This window comes from Homo sapiens, chromosome 7 (genome assembly GCF_000001405.40).
Source record: "Homo sapiens chromosome 7, GRCh38.p14 Primary Assembly".
In the NCBI taxonomy this organism is placed as follows: Eukaryota; Metazoa; Chordata; class Mammalia; order Primates; family Hominidae; genus Homo; species Homo sapiens.
Genome location: NC_000007.14, coordinates 68,242,321 through 68,260,610, shown reverse-complemented (window position 1 = coordinate 68,260,610; position 18,290 = coordinate 68,242,321). Strand labels below are relative to the sequence as shown.

Genomic DNA, 18,290 nt, shown 5'->3' with positions numbered 1-18,290 from the left:
GGGGATGACCCATTTGTTCCCCTACAACTTTGGGCTTATATAGGGAGATGGGCACAACCAGGTAACAGGGAGGTTGGCATACATTCAGCTCACTGAGGGACTGCTTTTTCTGTTCCTACAGCCTATGCCTTGTAAACCAAAAAGTGACTAAGTCAGATCTCTATTGATTTAGAGGTTTATTTTGCTGAGGTTTAGGATGTCCCTGGGAAAAAGAAACACAAGTTACAGTAGGATCTGTGGCCTGTGATATCTCCAAAAAGGGTTTTGGGATCTTCAGTATTTAAAGGAGAAAGAGTAAGCAGGAAGGAAAGAGACAAAAGAGAAGGAGGAAGGGAAGGTAGGCAATGAAGCAAGTGGTCACATTCTTGTTTTAATTAACACTCAGTGAATCTACATTTTACGTGTGAAACGAAGGGAGTGGGGTGAAAGTCAATCATGCATTTGTCTCCCACTTATTAAATCTACATTTTACATGAGATAAAGTCAGCATGTAAAATTACAGCTATCCACTTGGGAACAAAAGGAAGGTAGTTTTTTTGCATGATTCAATTTCCAAGCTTAACTTTCTCTTTGGCATGAGAAGCTTGAGGTCCCAAGATTTTAGTTTGCTTTCACAGCCTTAACTCGCTTAGACCTTGTCTTAGACTCTGATTGGACAACTGGCTTGCAGTGGAACAGAGATCATAAAAATTGTCAATGCCAACTGATCGAGCTCTGTGGTTTTAAAGGCTTTTCTATCTCTAGGTTTTGCAGACTTCAACTGAGATTTGCACCCTATGAAACAAAGAAAGAGGAGTGTGGGGGCAAAAGAGGAATCTCACAGACTCACACCCTCTTTTACATGGGGGCTGAACAAGAATTCCAAGACTATGTTTTGTTTAATTAATCAATTTATTTATTTTCTTAAAGCAAGCTTTGCTATGTCACCCAGGCTAGAGAGTGATCATAGTTCACTGCAGCCTTGAACTCCTGGGCTCAAGCAAGTCTCCCACCACAGACTTCTATGTAGCTGGGACTACAGGTGTGTACCACCATGCCAAGCTAAATTTTTTTTTCGTTTTTTAGAGATAGTGGTCTTGCTATGTTGCGCAGACTGGTCTTGAATTCCTAGCTTCAAGTGCTCCTCCCTCTTTGGCCTCCCAAAGTGCTGGGATTACAGGCATGAGCAGGTCCCAAGACTGTAGTTTAAATGCTCACTAGCTTTCCATAGTGACTATTTGCCTTAGACTCCTATCTGATTAGGAAAATAATCTGCCTTCCCTGGTTGAGTCATTATTCTAGGGTCCAGGTTTTTTTGCTTGCTTGTCTGTTTGTTGAGATTAAGATAATCTCACTTGCGTCCAAGTTTATAAATGGATCCTATTTTGAGGACGCCATTTTTACATTTGAAAGGCGTTGGTTGAACTCTCACTTCCGGCTGTTGGTTTGAAGGCAGAGCCACGGCACAAAAGAAGATAAAGGAAAGGCAAGTGCTTCTTCTTCAATTCCCTTCTTCTGGCCCCTGTCTCCTGAATGGCATTGTCAGTGAGGGAGAGGACCTCAAGAACTGTACTTTTCTCCTTAAAGCAGCCGTTAGCAAGTGGCATCAGCTGAGGGCTGTGATTGGCCCTTCTCTTATGGGTGTCCTGTCTGTAATTGTCACTAATGCAAATTCATTAGATATTTCATTAGCTAAGCCAAAAACCTATATCCTGATCTTTAGCTGAAAACATCTGCGAATTAGATTTGGAAAATTAGAATAATACTCATTCGCCGGTGGCAATTAATGAGTCATGACTAACGAAGGCAGGGAGAGGAGGGCAGGAGAGAGTGGCTCTCCTTCCGTGCTGCTGATAGTTAAATGGAAGAGGAAATTACACTGCATTTTGTGAGTTCACTGGAGCACGAAGCTGTCACTGCCTGGAGCCATCAGACTTCCTGACCCAGCTCCTGGGCTTTGCGGTACTTCTTTCGTTTCAGAACCCTAAAGGTAGAACACAGAGTCTGGGTAGTAGGAGGTCAGTTCTTAAGGCAGGGACTCCTGGCCCTCAGTTGGTGGTATCATTGGTAATGTATCAAATATCACCAGATCTTTTCATTTTTTATTAAGTGTAGAGGAGACGACCTTGGAAGCTATTGCCTTCAACCTTCATTTCTTACACAAAGGAAACTGAGGCTCAGAAAATTCAGGCAACTTTTCCCTGGACACATTAAGTAATGTCTCAAAAGATGGGGACCCCACTCCAGTCTCCTGACTCTGTATTTAATGTTCTTTTCTCTGAACCATCATTTCTACCAACTATTTGGCAACAATCCATGATCACTCAATACCCAATATATGGGAGATGGTTAGAAAAATGTTACAGATCCAAGGAAGGCTAACACATGTCCAGGTTTGTTACATGGGTATATTCTGTGATGCTGAGGTTTGGATTTGTCATGATCCCATCACCCAAGTAGTGAAATTAGTACCCAATAGGTAGCTTTTTCACCCTTATTCCCTGTCTCCCCACTCAGTAGTCCACAGTCTCTATTGTTCCCATCTTTATATTTATGTGTACCCCATGTTTAGCTTCTGCTTATAAGTGAGAACATGTGGTATTTGGTTTTCTGTTTCTGCATTCACTTAAGATAATGGCTTCCAGGTGCACCCATGTGGCTGCAAAAACAAAACAAAACAAAACATGATTTCATTTTTTTTTTTTTTTTGAGACGGAGTCTCTCTCTGTCGCCCAGGCTGGAGTGCAATTTTGGCTCACTGCAACATCCACCTCCCGGGTTCAAGCAATTCCTTACCTCAGCCTTCCGAGTAGCTGGGATTACAGGCACCCGCCACTACGCCCAGTTAATTTTTTGTATTTTTAGCAGAGACAGGGTTTCACCATCTTGGCCAGGCTGATCTTGAACTCCTGACCTTGTGATCCACCCTCCTCGGCCTCCCAAAATGCTGGGATTACAGGCGTGAGCCACCGTGCCCAGCTGATTTCATTCTTTTTTATGACTCATAGTATTCCATGGTGTATATATACCACACTTTCTTTATCCAACCCACTACTGATGGGCACCTGGGTTGATTTCATGTCTTTGCTTTTGTGAACAGTGCTGTGATAAACATATGAGTGCAGGTGTCCTTAACATTCTAATTTTCTCCTTGGGCCTAAGTTTTCCATCCTATCAAATAAAGTAATCATACTAAGTCTGTAAGAATCCTCTAAGAGCTGGCATTTACTTGCTTTCCTCTCTAGATATATCAAAAAGGAGTAATGCAATGAAGACACAGAAGAGGGAATGAGCCCATCTCCTTCTGGGTATTGGGAAGGCTTTATGGAAGCTGTGGCATTGTAGATAGGAGCTAATGAAGGATTGTAGCAGAAAACCAAGAGAAAGGTAGATGTTGCTATATGAAGAGAGGTGATGTGATATCTAGATTCCTATCCAGATATGCAAGTCTATGATTCTGGGTTTCTAGGGATATTTTGGGAGCAAGTAAACCAAAATCCTTAAACAAGTGCTCCCAGAACTGACTGCAGCTGAAAAGTCAGTGAGTGACAATTGCATCATTTCCATCACTCAATATCTCCAGCCTCAGTCACACGTGAGTCCTGCTCTCAGCACTGAGAGGCAAAGGGAGGTTGCTTCTTAACCAACAATGAGTTTAAACTCACTGCAGTACAGGGGCTTGGAATCAGAAAAGCCTCCTTATGGAATTTAGTTCACTTGACATTTGGTAAGTGTTTAATAAATTATTATGATATAATAATTACTTGCCTGTAGAATTTCATTTTCTGGAAACGTATAAAAATGAGAGAGGTGTTCACCTGTGTAAAATGGTGCAGGAGGAGTCCTGTCTGCAGGCTGGGCAGTGGATCTTTTATACTCCAGAGCAGGGTTTTTAAAGTGTGATCCCTAAGGCAGCAGTCTTGTCACCTGGGAAATGATTAGCAATGCAAATTCTCAGCTCCACCCTAGACCTATTGAGTCAGGCTCTCTGAAGTTGGGGCCCAGCCATCTCTCTTAGCAAGCCCTGCAAGTGACTCTGATGCTTCTCAGGTTTGGGAATCACTGCTCTAGAGTTGCCTTTGTACACTATGTACATCGATGTACATAGTTCACTATGTACATCGGTGAATTATACTTGATGCAGTCAGAAAAGAAAGGGAGAGAGGGAGGCAGAGAGAGTGAAAGAGAGAGAGGAGGAGAAGGAGAACTGAAACCACCTTTGCAAAACTATGACTGAGACAGTGAAAGAGATCTAACTTAACCAACTCCATCTTGCTTCTAACCTCCAAGCTGTCCTTGTTCATTTCTGGGCATAGGCTGAACTAACTTTAAAGGAAACTGAGCTTATAGTTTAAAACAAAGATGATAACAACCCTTTAGCAAAGCAGACCTCCTTCTTGCCTGGGGACTAGATTGCCTTTGTAGGACTAACACTAGCCATAAGATTAGAAATTATGGTTTAGGAGTCATGCAGCCGGAGGCTACAAGATTCTGACCCTCCATAAACTCCTCCTAAGACCAGCAATTGAGATATATTTTGCAGACCTTGCACTTGATGGATCAGCTGGCACCATCCAGATCAATTAACTGGCTCATCTGATCTTGTGGTTCCCACCCAGGAGCTGACTCAGTGCAATAAGACAGCTTCAATTTCTTATGATTTCATCCCTGACCAATCAGTGCTCCTGGTTCACTGGCTCCCCACCACCCGCCAAGTTGTCCTTAAAAACTCTCCTCACCCAAATGCTCGGGGAGACTGATTTGAGTAGTAATAAAGCTCGGGTCTCCTGTATACAGCTGACTCTGCATGAATTACTCTTTCTCTATTGCAGTTCCCCTGTCTTGAGAAATAGGCTCTGTTTAGGCAGCAGGCAAAGTGAACCCATTGGATGGTTACAGAAAGAGATGAAGGAGGAGAAGAAGGAGGAAGAGGTGGGTAGGAGGAGAAAGAAAAGGAGAAAGGAGCAGGAGCAGGAGGTGGAGGTGGAGGAGGAGGAGAAGGGGAAGGAGAAGGGGAAGAGGAAGAAGAAGAAGAAGAGGGAGGAGGAGGAGAGGAGGAAAAGGACAAAGGAGGAGAAGGAGGAGAAGGACAAGAAGTAGGAGGAGGAGGAAGAGGAGAAAAAAAGGAGGAGGAGGAGGAGAAGGGAGAAGAATAGAAGGAGGAGGAAGGGGAGGAGAGAAGGAGGAGGAGGAAAGGCAGAAGAAGGAGAAAAGAAGAAGATGAAGAGGAAGAAGAAGGAAAAGGAGAAGAATAAGGAGAAGAAGAAGACGAAGAAGAGGAAGGAAGGGGAGGAGGGGAGAAGGAGGAGGGGAGGAGGAGAGGAGGAAAAGGAGGAGGAGAGGAGGAAAAGCACAAAGGAGGAGAAGGAGAAGGAGGAGGAGAAGGACATGAAGCAGGAGGAGGAGGAGGAAGAGAAGAAGAAAAAGGAGGAGGAGGAGAAAGAGGAGAAAGGAGAAGAATAGAAGGAGGAGGAAGGGGAGGAGAGAGGGAGGAGGAAAGGCGGAAGAAGGAGAAAAGAAGAAGAGGAAGAGGAAGAAGAAGGAAAAGGAGAAGAAGAATAAGGAGAAGAAGAAGAGGAAGGAGGAGGAGGGGAAGAGGAGAGGAGGAAAAGGACAAAAGAGGAGAAGGAGGAGGAGAAGGACAAGAAGCATGAGGAGGAGGAGGAAGAGAAGAAGAAAAAGGAGGAAGAGAAAGGAGAAGAATAGAAGGAGGAGGAAGGGGAGGAGAGAAGGAGGAGGAGGAAAGGCAGAAGAAGGAGAAAAGAAGAGGAAGAGGAAGAAGAAGGAAAAGGAGAAGAAGAATAAGGAGAAGAAGAAGGAGAAGGAGGAGGAGGAAAAGAAGAGGAAGAAAAGGAGGAGGAAGAGAAAGAGAAATTCTGTCTAAAGAGAGACATAGTCAAAGTCAGGGTGTTTGCCAGGGTTTGAGTCCATGGTCATTGCATCTTTCATTTGAGAAGCGTGAAGTAAGGGAGTAAAGAATAAATCCGGAGACAGCTGATCTGGCTTCTAGCATTTGATCTATTAGCAATAAGCTTTGTCACCTTGGCCAAGCCACTCAGCCGTTCTGCACCCCTGTGAGATGAAGGTGCCTGCACATGCTCTCCGGGCACACACCCAGCCTGTCTGCCACTGCCCAGAGTGTATGCGCAAGATTTGTCCCACTTCCCCATAAACAGAGTCAGCCCATTCCATCAATTCCCGGGTGGCTGTCCACACTATACCATAACTACGTGCCAGTCAAGGTCAAAACCACTGCCTAAACTGGTGCTGTGTTCTATGCAGAGGTAATAGAGACTGGCACTCTCTTGCTACCATGCCTGGTGGTGTACATGAAGGAATGATCTATTCCATTTCGTTGTGGCATCACTCCCAGGGTAGCTTACCTTGTCTGAGAGATGGATGGGAAATCGTTTCAGCCAGTTTTGCTGCTGAGTCCCTGAGCCGTGAGCCTCCCTGGCACGAGGTGATTGAGCTGGGGAGGCTGGATACCCACGCTCTCCCCAGGGACTCCCTTTTTCATTTACATTTCCAATTTCCAGACTTGTCAACAGTTTCTGCCTCTCTTCTCCAAGAGAAAATGGAAATTCAAAAACAAAAGTAAATTCCCTTTAAAATTGCATGCAAGAATGAGCATCCTGGGCCATAGGACTTCTATTTGCCAGAAATCATGGTTTTGTTGTTCTCTCAGTCACAGGGGTCATTGTGGGGAGACAGAAGCCCTCAGGGCAAAGTTGCAGGGAAAGGGGAGAGAGCCCTCACTCCAGCCCAGCTCCAGTGATGCCCTGGTCTGACCACTTTCTCCTTTCTCCCATCATCTAAAGCAACCTGGGTCCTACGCTACTAATTTTTTTTTAATTGAAATATAATTTTCATTGCATAAAATTTACTTTTCAAAAATGTACAATTTAGTGTCTTTTAGTACATTTATTTAAACCGTTACACAACTATCTTCACTAATTCCAGAACATTTTCATTGCCCCAAAAGGAAACTGCATGCCCATTAGTGCTCAGTCCCCATTCTCCTCCTCCCACCTCCAGGCGACCATTAATCTACTTCTGACTCTATGGATTCTCTTATTCTGAACAATTCACTTAAATAGGTTCATATAGGCCAGGGCAGTGGCTCACGCCTGTAATCCCAGCACTTTGGGAGGCTGAGGTGGGAGGATCACGAGGTCAGGAGATTGACAGCATGGTGAAACCCTGTCTCTACTAAAAAATACAAAAAAATTAGCTGGCCGTGGTGGCAGGCACCTGTAGTCCCAGCTACTTGGGAGGCTGAGCTTACAGTGAGCCGAGATGGCGCCACTGCACTCCAGCCTGGGCGACAGAGCGAGACTCCGTCTCAAAAATAAATAAATAAATAAATAAAAATAAATAAATAAATGGGATCATATAATATGTGGCCTTTATGTCTGGCTTCTTTCACTGAGCAGAATGTTTTCAAGGTTCATTAGTAAACCTTGAAAACATCAGTACTTCTTTTCTTTTTATGACTAAATAATATTTTATTGTATAAATATACAATATTTTATTTATCTATGCATCAGTTGATAGGCATTTGAGTTGTTTACACCTTTTGGCTGTATCATTCATGCTGATATGTGCATTTGTATACACGTTTGTGTAAAAATATTTCAATACTCTTGAATAAATACCAAAAAGTGGAATTGTTAAGTTATATGTTAATTTTAGGCTTAATGTTTGAGAAACTGCCAAACTGTTTTCCAAAGTGGCTGCACCATCTTTGCATTTTTTTAACAATGTACAAGGATTCTAATTTCTCTGTAGCCTTGCCAACTCTTGTTATTTCTGTCTTTTTGATGATAGCCATCTTAGTGAGTATGAAGTGATATCTTATTGTGGTTTTGATTTGCATTTTCTCAGTGACTAGTGATGTTGAGTATCTTTTCATGTGTTTATGGGCCATTTATATATCTACTTTGGAGAAATGTTTGTTCAAATTATCTGTCCATTTATAAAATTGGGTTATTTGTCTTTTTATTGTTGAGTTGTAAGAGTTCTTTATTATAGATATTAGACTCATTGGATATGAGATTTGCATATTCTATGGCCATCCTCTGAACCACAAAATGTTTTCATCTTGATCAAGTCCAATTTACCTAATTATTTTTTTCATTTGGTTGCTTCTGCTTTAGGCATCATATCTAAGCAACTACTTCCTAATCCTATGTCATGAAGATTTACTCCTATCCTTTCTTCTAAGAGTTGTATAGTTTTAGCTGTTACATTAAGGTCTTTACTCTGTTTTAAGCTAATTTTTGTATACGGTGTGAGGCAGGGGTTCAACTTCCCTCTTTTTCATGTGGATATCCAGTTGTCTCAGCACCATTTGTTAAAGAGACTACTCTTTCCCTCGTTGAGTTGTTGTGCTACCCTTATAACTCCTAGTAAAATCCTTTCTTCTATGGTTCACCCCTTTATGTGGATTTCTCCTCTCTCAGGCTAGATTGTCAGCCCACTGAGACAGAGGATGAATCTTTGGCTCCTCCCAAGAGACCAGGCACAGGTTTATTCAAAGACTGAGTGCACATGTTAATTGAATATTTTGGAAATTGCTGCTGAGCTACTACCCCCTTGTGAGTATTTTTTCACCTAGAGGTCCTAAGTTTCTTGGATAGCCCTCAACAATGTTAATTTCGATTATGAAATCAGATGCAGGAGCCAGAGGAATAATGGATTCAGATGACTTTGTGCTCCAGACCTGCCAAGACAGCTTTGAGAGCTTCCCAGGGGAGTCCTGGAAAGCTAGTGCCTTCACCATCATCCTTGATTCCTCAGAATGATCCAGGAACATGGAGGGGTAGGACCTCTAACCCAGTGCATGAGATAAGGATGGAAAGGAGTTTTAAAGGCTGTGAAAGGGTGACTCAGGCAAGGAAGAGAGAGAAAATGTGTTTAGGGGCAGAAAGGCCTGCCTGCAGATATGCCTCGAGGAACAGAACCATGGAGAAGAAAGATGAGGGTAAGGGAGCTGGAGACACCGAGAAGGTCATTAATAAGCTCATGGGGCTGGGTCTCCAGACCCTCTATATAGACCAGAAACTGTCCTTGGAAAGCCAAGTCACCAAAAGAAATGGAAAAGCCGCCTTTGCCTACTCCTGGCAACAAATTGTTAAAATAATGGGTTTATGTTTCAAAGGTTTCATTCCTTGTGTTTGATCAATAAAATGTTCTTTAGATCAATACAAATGTAATTTCACTGCTGGCAGCCATTTATAGCATGCAGTGGAGAAGTCACTGCCCAGCAAGCCCAGCTTGTGAGTATCATACAAGCATATTGCTCTGCTAGGTATGGGTCACGCTCGAAAACAGCAAGGAGAAACAAATGAGATTACCAGCCAATAAGCTCAATGTTGGCACCAATGTCTTGGTGCCTGCATTAATCTCTTCAATGCAGAGGCTTTCAGTAGAAAGAATCTGGCTCTCTAAATTCATTCTTAAAACTAGAAAGTAAAAAGAGTAGAATTGCTGATGCTTATTCAGCACTTAGCACATGGCAGACTGTCCTAAATGCTTTCTGTGAATTAGCTCATTTGAGTCAGATGTAAACCCAATGAAATTGCTCCATTATGAGCCTTATCTTATTGATATTGATACTGAACCACAGAGAGGTTGAGTAACCTGCACCCAGGCTCATAGCTGCTAGGGAGCAGAGCTGGGATTTGTACCCAGGCAGTCTTGCTCTAAGCACCCTACTACATCATCTCTCCAGCTGAGTGTATCACCTGCTTCAATGCTTGCCACACATCATACACTGTACTTAGTATTTTCACATGTTTCATTTTGTTTATTCCCCTAAACATATTACCATGGGTGTTATTACAGATGGCGAAACCGAGTCCTAGAGAAGATCAGTAACTTGCCCAAGTTTTCCTTGCAAGGAAGCGGCAGCGCCAACCTTTGAATCCAGGTGTTCCGAAGCCAGTGCTGCTGGGCTAACCTCTTGCCTTCAGGGAGGTAGCCAAGTGGTATACCTGTTTATTTCTGCAGCACTTGCCTCTGTGGAGGATGAAGGCTGTGAGCCCTGGGAGCTCAAGAAGAGACAAACCCGGAGGGAAAAACAAGTGAACCCAAGGCTCCCAGGGCCCCCCGGCAGTGTGAGCAGTCTGCCCTGGGGGCTTTCCTAGCTCAAGCTCCAGCTCTTGCTATTGCTATGGCCTTGCTCTATGCATACCGTAGGGCCTGGGTCCCTCTGACCAAGAAACAGAACAGACAGAGTTCATTCTCAGACACCCAGTGAGCATGCACTTCCACTGCTCTGCCACAAGTATGGCGCTGAGCAAATGTGAGGCTGGATGTCCAATGCACTTTCTATAGAGTGTAAGCTTCATGAAGAAGGGGCAGGTGGTAAGTAGAGAGCCCTGGACTGGAAGCCAGAATCCCCACTCCGGTTCCAGCCCAGCCATGTGTGCTTGGGCAATGCCTTTCCCTTCACTGAGCCACACTTTCCTGAGGCCCAATTCTTCTTTAAAGTCTCCCTCAGCTTCAGTGCTATAGAAATCAGAAGAGAATGTGAAGGTCAGTGCTGCTAAGACCCATCTTTTATCCATTCAGCAATATTTATTGAAAGTCGATCAGGTACCAGGCATGGAATTCAGCAATGAACAAGAAGACAGATAACATTCCTTGTCCTTGTGAAGCTTAAATTCTAGTGATTTGGGGGATGCCAGATTCATTCATCATTCACTTATTCACTTACTCCATTCACTCACTCATTTATTCACTCATTCATTCACCTTCATTCTTTCACTCTCATTCATTCATTCACTCTCATTCATTCACTCACTTTATTCACTCCCTAATTCATTTGCTCACTTCACTCATTCACTCACTCATTCATTCACTCATTTAGTCATCCACCCACTCATTCATTCACTCATTTATTCATTCACTCACTTATTCATTCACTCACTTATTCATTCATTCAGTCATCCACACACTCACTCATCCACTCATTCATTTATTCACTCGTTCATTTACTCATCAGTCATTAACTCACTCATTCATTCATCCACCCACTAATTTGTTCAATCATTTATTTATTCTCTCACTCATTTACTCACACTTATTCATTTACTCTCTCATTTATTCATTCACTCTCTCATTTATTCATTCATTCACTCAGCATCATTCATTCATTAACCCATTCATCCACTAGTTCATTCAGTTAGTCACCATCATTCATTCATTAACTCACTAATTCATTAACTCATTCATTTACTCATTCACTCATTCACTCATTCATTCATTCACTCATTCAAGAAGCACCCACCATGGTTCAGGTGTAGCAGCAGGTCTGGGGGATTCAAAGGTGAGAAAGACAAGACCTCACCCTGGAGGTACTTACATTTCAGCAAGAAAGTAAGGTAGGTAAAAAACATAACTGCATTCTGAGACTGGGACAAAAGCCATGCTTGTTCTAAATCTATCCACAGCATTATGTAAGAACTCACTAGAGAGTGGGAGTTAAGATCTAGCACCAAAGTGGGACAGGAGACCAGGGAAGCTAGACAGGAAGGTGGCAGGTAGCCTAGCAGAACTCCCCAGGTCAAGGGCAGGCACCCAGAGTGGCCTCTGTGCCTTCCATGAGCAAACCTCCAAGAATGTTTCTGGTGAATGGAAAGGGCTTGAACAGGGCAGGCTCAGCAGGAACCTTTGCCCCATCTTGGTCTCAATGCTGCTGTTTCAAAGAGCATGCAGCAAAATGCAGGTGGAATCTGCTGCCTTCTCCGGGGCTCATCAGCTAATTCAGACTTCTCAAGCTAAGGCTAGGCAGTGGCTTCGCCATACCTGCCCCCAGTTCTAGTTGGGCCTTTGAGTTTTCAGGATTCCCCCAGAGCAATAGTCCCTTGGGAAGGGAAACCCTGTGTTATTCCCCAGCCATCCTACATTTCATCCATGGTAGTGAAAGGATGTATCTCTTGTCCTGGGAACTGGAATTTGCTTCTGTTCCCCTTCATCTCATCAAGGGATGGCTGAGAACTGTACCTATTGTCCAGCTTCTTCAAGGCTGTGGCTTCCTTGAATCTTCTTGGCATCCATGCAGGCTTTTCTCTTACTTCCTCTTCCTTGAAGCTCAATATTTCTTTTGGACCCTGCTGCGACAAACTCTGACATTATCATCTTAGTTATGGGCACAACCCCTCTGCCAACCTTGATGTTCCCATCTGTAAACTGAAAATAACTTTGCCTGTCTTGATTGTGTGACAGAGCTGTATTGAAAATTCAATGAGGTAGGCCAGGCACGGTGGCTCACACCTGTAATCCCAGCATTTTGGGAGGCCAAGGTGGGTGGGTCACCTGAGGACAGGAGTTCGAGATCAGCCTGGCCAACATGGTGAAACCCTGTCTCAACTAAAAATGCAAAAATTAGCCAGGCGTGATAGAGGCTGAGGCGTGAGAATCTCTTGAAACCGGAAGGTGGAGGTTGCAGTGAGCTGAGATCGCACCATTGCACTCCAGCCTGGGTAACAGAGTGAGACTCTGTCTCAAAAAAAAGACAGAAAATTCAATGAGATAATATACAAAATAATACACACACACACACACACACACACACACACACACACACTATATTTTACAGAGACAGAGTCTTACTCTGTCACCCAGGCTGATGTGCAGTGGCATGATCATAGCTCCCTGTAACTTCAAAATCCGGGGCTCAAGCAATCCTCCTGCCTTGGCCTCCCAAGTAGCTGGTAATACAGGCACATGCTTCCACATCTGGCTAATTTTTAATTTTTTTCTAGAGACAAGTTCTTGCTGTGTTGCCTAGGCTTGTCTTGAATTCCTGGTCTCAAGTGATCCTCCAGCCTTGGTCACCCAAAGTGCTGGGATTACAAGCATGAGCTGCCATGCCTGGCCAATGATGACAGTATTTACAACACACACCACAGCAACAAGAGGTAGAGTTGAAAAAACATTTCTGTTCATTGAACAAGAAAGATTCAGGTCCAGTTAGCAATCCCTGAACACCTCACATGTGTTAGACACTGGGACAGTTGCTTTTGTGTTCGTTATTTAAATATCATAGCCCTCCTTTTCTATCTATAAATAAAGAAACATAGGCTCTGAGAAGTGACACATTCTGCCCAAGGACACAGAGTTTTATGAGCAGGACCTGGGTTGCATGGAGAACCCATCTGGCTCTTTAAGCCACAGTTACACAGAGCACTCAACTCCATGCAGTCTCTGAAAAAAATACAAAGTGTTCTGTACTCCTACCTTTAAATACAAACTCACTGCTTTCAGACCCAATTAGGAACAGATAATTACCTGTGGGAAGTGGGGAGTTGGGCTGTCTGCTGGATCGACACGGAGAGTCCGTGAGCTAGAGTCTGTGAGCTAGTCTTTTCTCGTTATCAATAACATGCTACAACAAAATCATTATTTGGCAACGTGTTCATTTAATGGTCCATCCCACTGGCGCAGGATGGAAAGCAGCCACAATCAACTCTCTATGACACCATGCTGCATTGGCGATTTTGCCATTGCTGCCCGTTTGGGGCAGAGATGTGTCCTGCTAGAGGATGATGCAATTTTCCTAGACTTCTGAACAATCTTATAGCCCTGAGCCCCTCTTGCATGGAGTCCTTGGTGCCTTCTTTATAGTCTCAGTCTTGATTGGGCCCTGAAATGATCCTAAGCAAGGTATGTGGATGTCCCCTACCTGAGCGAGGGACAAGGGGCATTCGTGGAGTTACTGGCACTACGTGTCAGATATACTGGCATGAACCCCCTATCATCCCAGTGCTCAGTAGATTTCATCAGTTCAGTATACCTGGGCTTCCAGCTCAGCTTTCCTGCCCAACCCTACAGGTGCCTTCCAGGAATATATGCTCTGCCTGGATTGCAGCCTGCTTAATGATGAGGTCTACTATACACACTTTGACTCTTTCTCAGGGAACTGGAGTCTGCTTTCAGCCCACCTGCGACAATCATGATTCTGAGTATTGTCTGTCTCCTGGTCACAGACACCTGCCAGAACCACACCTGAGCTTGCTGAACCTGTTGATCTCCATGCACCAGCTGCTTGGCTGAACACATAAGTGCCAAGTCATAAATGAGTCACTTAGTCCTGCCTTCCTCCCACAACACCAGCCTGAGCCGCAGGGTTTCAGTATGCTTAATTGCAAGAGCCAGCGCATCCTCCCTGCATCTTCCCCCTGCTTAGCTAGAGTGGCGTGACTGCCTGCTTGAAGTACATTTGAAAGTCACTGAGTGAGCAGGGAATGCTTTGATGCTGACTGCTCCTTTCTCCCCTGGGGCTCTTTCAGTCTGGGCAACTTCCCACCATTTAACTTGTTCCTTGTAACAGATACAGAATAGCAGTGCCCAGGTGGGCTGACACAATGGCAGAGTCCGTGGTATCACATGAGACAGCTGGCTGTAGTTTTGGGCCTTTACTTGAAGGGCAAGAGGAATTGCTTCTTATTCGTGTGGAATATGAGGATGTTCCCACTTTACTCTGGCTGGGGAAAGAGCCAGAATGAGTTTTGCATTTGGGGAACCACCATAATTAGCTGCAAGAAACTATGGGCTAAGAAAAGGGGTTGCCAACCCCTGGCTATCACACATTCCTCAGGCTTCATTTATCATTCAAATGGAAGCATGAATCACACTTACTCCATAGCAGGCTCCATATAAGGGATGAGATAATGAGACTGTCAAGGTCCCTGCACTCCCAGCTCGGGGAGTGCCCTTGCTACTCCAGCCTTCTGTCTTGACTTCAACCAACTACAGCCATCAATTCTCCTTTTGTCTTCAGTCTAGACCAGTACTAGCAAAGCCAGAGCTCTCTAAATTCAACACGAATGTATGTCAAAGCAAAGGAATGGATTCCACAGATGCTCCAATGAGTCACATGCTCCAAGAACTCAAGAGGACTTCTTAGGAAACCGGTGAAGTGTTTGGAACATTTGCTAATTCTATCAGATCATCCCTTTTATTGCGGATGACTCTGGATCCACACAATTTTCATCAAGAGAAATTTTTTTGCATAATGCCCCAGTGACTAATCCGATTTGGTGTGGTGTAGAACCTTCGTGGAGCCTTGTATTAGTCCATTCTAACACTGCTACAAAGAAATACCCAAGACTGGGTAATTTACCAAAGAAAGGAGCTTAATTGACTCACAGTTCTGATTGGCTGTGGAGGCCTCAGGAAACTTACAAACATGGCGGAAAGCAAAGGAGAAGCAAGTACCTTCTTCTCAAGGTGGCATGAAAGAGAACGAGAGCAAAGTGGGAAAAGCCCCTTATAAAACCATCAGATTTCTTAAGAACTTACTCACTATAACAAGAACGGCATGGGGGAAACTGTCCCCATGAGCCAATCACCTACCGCCAGGTCTCTCCCTTAACACGTGGGGATTACAATTTGAGATGAGATTTGGGTGGAGATGAGATTTGGGTGGAGACACATAGCCAAACCATATCAAGCCTCAAGCCCCGAAGTTCTACTGCAGAAACTGGATATCTTGATTCTTTGCCCAATAATTGATTTGAAAACACCAGATCGAATTTCCTTCTTTTCCATGGTCTAACTGAAATCTTGGTGTGATCTAAACTACAGAACTGGTGTTTTTTGAGAATCATAGTATTAGAACTTATAGGCTATCTAATTTTACTTTACACTAAGTCTAGGAACCTGAGAATGATACGTCTATCTGGTTTGAATATCTCCTGTAATAGGAAGCTCACTCTGTAGTGTCAGCCCCTTCCACTGTGGAGTCCTTCCATGTACCAGAAAGTTCTTCTTTATCATGGGCTGAAATCTGCTTCCTGGAAACATTCATCCCGTTGATTCTGCACCATGCACCACATGAAGTGAGTCCTGATTCCTCTTCCTTATGAAAGCACTTAAACTGTCCAACGATGGCCATTCTGTCCCTTTGAGTCACTTCATCTGATACAGAATCTCCAGTTTCTCTACCTGTTCATGCCCAGTCAAAGTTTCCAGCACTCAGCACTTCACCGGCTAGGCTTTCATGTTTGCAAGGATGCTGACGCATCTCATCTTTCTATGTCAGTGAAAGAAAATAAACGGTTCAGAGTTGGCCTGCAGTGACAAAGGGGAACGAGGCCTGTTTGTGGTGGATTAGATTGGATGGCCAGGACAGGAAGCCAGGACCTGGAAGAAGAGCAAACAAAATGATTTTTTTCAAAAAGCTAGATGACAGTGGAACCATGCAGAGATCAAAAACGGCGCAACAGGAAACTAGGAAAGCAGAAAACAGAAATAGTGTTATTTTGTAACATTGACAGTGGTAGCATGACATTAGTGACAGTTCACAGGTGATATTACTCAATGCCTGCAGCAAAATGTTTGAACGCCTTTTAATTGCAAAATTAATGCTTGCATAAGTTTTCTTTGTTAAAAAGTGAAAACAATACAGATAAGTCTAAAATGTCCCTAGTTCCTACTGTCCCTCCTTCCCTATCTGGTTCCAGAAGTGTGTATGTGCAGGTGCATGGGTGAGAATTTGTGTGTGTGTGTATATATGTGTGTGTGTGTATATGTATGTGCATATATATACATATATATGTATATATACATGACGTACACATGCATATATACACACATATACATATGTATATACAAATATACATATACGTACAAATATATGTGTACAAACACATGCATATCTGTGTACATAAATCTATGTATGTATACATAGATATGTGCACATACATATCTATGTATACATACATAGATTTATGTATACATACATGTATATATCTATATATGTATATGTATATATACATATAGAGAGAGAGAAAGAGAACAGAGAGATTTATCGTAAGGAATTGGTAAGGAATATATATGTATACATAGATTTATTTATATATACATACATGTATATATCGATACATACTTATGTGTGTGTATGTATTGATATATACACACATACACATATATACATATATACCCATATATGTATATATAATATATAATATATAATTATATTATTATATATAATTATATATATAAAATATATATATATACAAACACACACACACACAGAGGGACAGAGAGAAAGAGAGAGAAGAGAAAGAGATTTATTGTAAGGAATTGGGTCACACAATCGTGGAAGCTAGTAAGTCCAAAATATGCAGACAGGGTAGCTCCAACCATCAGTGTGGAGACCCAGGGAAGAAGTGATGTTGCAACTTGGGTCCAAAGAAAGCCTGGAGGAATAATTCCTTCTTCCCTGGGGGAGGTCAGCCTTATTTCTTTTAAGGTCTTCAACTGATTAAGTGAGGCCCACCCCACTATGGAGAGTAAGCTGTTTTACTTAAAGCACACTGATCTAAACGTTAATCTCATCTAAATAATATCTTTACAGAAACATCTAAGATAGTATTCAGCCATGGCCTAACCATGTGATATTTAAAATTAACTGTTGCAATATGGAATGCATATAAACATTCCTATATAATTAAAATATGCTATATTTTGCATGCTTTAAATGTTATTATAGCATACAACCTGCTTTTATCACTCAACATTATGCTCAGAGTTATTTCTTTAATAGGAAATAAAGCAATACATCATTCTTTCTCAATGTTATGCTTAGAGTTATTTCCTTAAGAAGAAATAAAGGAATACTTCATTCTTTCTCACTTTCTACATAGTATTCTGTTCTACGGCTATATCCTGATTTATTTTGCCATTACTCTAAAAATTGGCATTATATTATTCCCAGCTGGTGAGCTGCTAGATCATGAATTCAAGCAAACTTCTTGAATTCTTTTAAAATGACAGTCAATATTCTGTTCCTGGGCAGAGATGTGGTGGCTCATACCTGTAATCTGAGCATTTTGGGAGGCCAAGGTGTAAGGATCACTTTAGACCAGGAGTTTGAGACTGGACTAGGCAATGTGGTGAAATCCTGTCTCTACAAAAAATACAAAAATTAGCTGGGCATGGTGGCATGCACCTGTAGTCCCAGCTACTGGAAGGCTGAGGTGGGAGGATTGCTTGAGCTCAGGAGGTCAAGGCAGCAGTGAGCCATGTTCACTGCACTGCACTCCAACTTGGGCACTAGAGTGAGATCTTGTCTAAAAAAGGAAAGAAAGAAAGAAAAGAAAGAAAGAAAGAAAGAAAGAAAGAAAGAAAGAAAGAAAGAGAAAGAAAGAAGGGAGGGAGGGAGGGAGGGAGGGAAAGAAAGAAAGAAAGAAAGAAAGAAAGAAAGAAAGAAAGAAAGAAAGAAAGAAAGAAAGAAAGAAAGAAAGAAAGAAAATTTTATCCTAGGAAGAGGGCTGGCCTGATGTGGGTCCAGCAAA

The 18,290-nt window shown here is 42.8% G+C and overlaps 1 long non-coding RNA gene across 3 annotated transcripts in view, besides 1 other annotated feature; it reads left to right on the top strand.

Annotated features, from left to right (window-relative positions):
• LOC105375341 (uncharacterized) overlaps positions 1–18,290 on the top strand; it is a 170,147-nt gene that overhangs the window by 59,084 nt on the left and 92,773 nt on the right. The window lies entirely within an intron of this gene.
• Positions 13,705–14,904: an enhancer, noted in NCBI's record as "MED14-independent group 3 enhancer chr7:67710694-67711893 (GRCh37/hg19 assembly coordinates)". NCBI's record gives its function as "activates an origin of replication core promoter dependent on BRD2, BRD4, P300/CBP and CDK7 cofactors, and independent of MED14, by STARR-seq in HCT116 cells {active_cell/tissue: HCT116}" and the evidence as "EXISTENCE:reporter gene assay evidence [ECO:0000049][PMID:35650434]".